Genomic DNA, 806 nt, shown 5'->3' with positions numbered 1-806 from the left:
AGAACTGAGCAGGCAGCACTAAGTAAGTGTCATATAGCCTCCCCACCCACCCTTCCAACCCTACTCCTAAAAGAGCCATAATTTAGTCCCAAGTATACTTTTCTGATCTTTTCCTGTGACATATTATGGTATCTTCAAATGGTACTGGGTTTCCTGAGGCTTGTGCTGCTGACTGCCAACCCCATCCTAGAGAGCACTGAGCGACAGATACTGTAAACATCCTACACTCTCAGCTGTGGAAAGTAAGAAAGCTGGGAGAAGGCTGTTTACTCTTTCTGCCTTGGAAGTCAACTAAAGAGAAATGGATTTTGAATATTTCTATGTCTTAGAATTGATCCTATCCCGTGTTTGTTTCTGAGGTCAACTGTAAAAGGAAAAAAGGTGAATTGACTAAGTCATCCAAAGAAATGTAAGATAATCTATAATATCAGTTATATTTGAACTGTTTCACTTAGTTTAAAAAGAAAAAAAAGATTACCAAATACCCAAGTGACAAAAGTTCTGGTTAACTTGTATGAGGCTACATTTTGTGGGTTGCTGCAGTCTGATCTGTAAAAGCAACACATTACCTATACGTTAAGCTAAACATTTCTCCTTTAACCTGAGAGCATTCCACACTGAAGTCTGCTTTTCTTGAAGCAAAAATTCTAGTGTCCTTGGACTTGCTATTTTATCAGGGATCAAAGGCACCTTGGAGCCCCATGCTTTAGGAATTGTAATGGCAAACAATAAGGTCTGCTCTTTAAAGCTAGAATATAGTTACACATTTCAGGAAAAAATAGAATTGTTGTTGGAGGACGGGAGAG

The 806-nt window shown here is 38.8% G+C and overlaps 1 non-coding gene across 1 annotated transcript; it reads left to right on the top strand.

The window, feature by feature from the left end:
- Positions 1-205: 205 nt before the first annotated feature.
- MIR30C2 (microRNA 30c-2) lies at positions 206-277 on the top strand. Its single transcript, NR_029598.1, has one exon. It is a non-coding gene; the product is annotated as a microRNA 30c-2 (primary transcript).
- Positions 278-806: the final 529 nt, after the last annotated feature.

The sequence above is a fragment of the Homo sapiens genome, chromosome 6 (genome assembly GCF_000001405.40).
Source record: "Homo sapiens chromosome 6, GRCh38.p14 Primary Assembly".
Classification (NCBI taxonomy): Eukaryota; Metazoa; Chordata; class Mammalia; order Primates; family Hominidae; genus Homo; species Homo sapiens.
The sequence above is the reverse complement of the archived record's forward strand: the minus strand, read 5'-3'. Positions and strand labels throughout refer to the sequence as shown.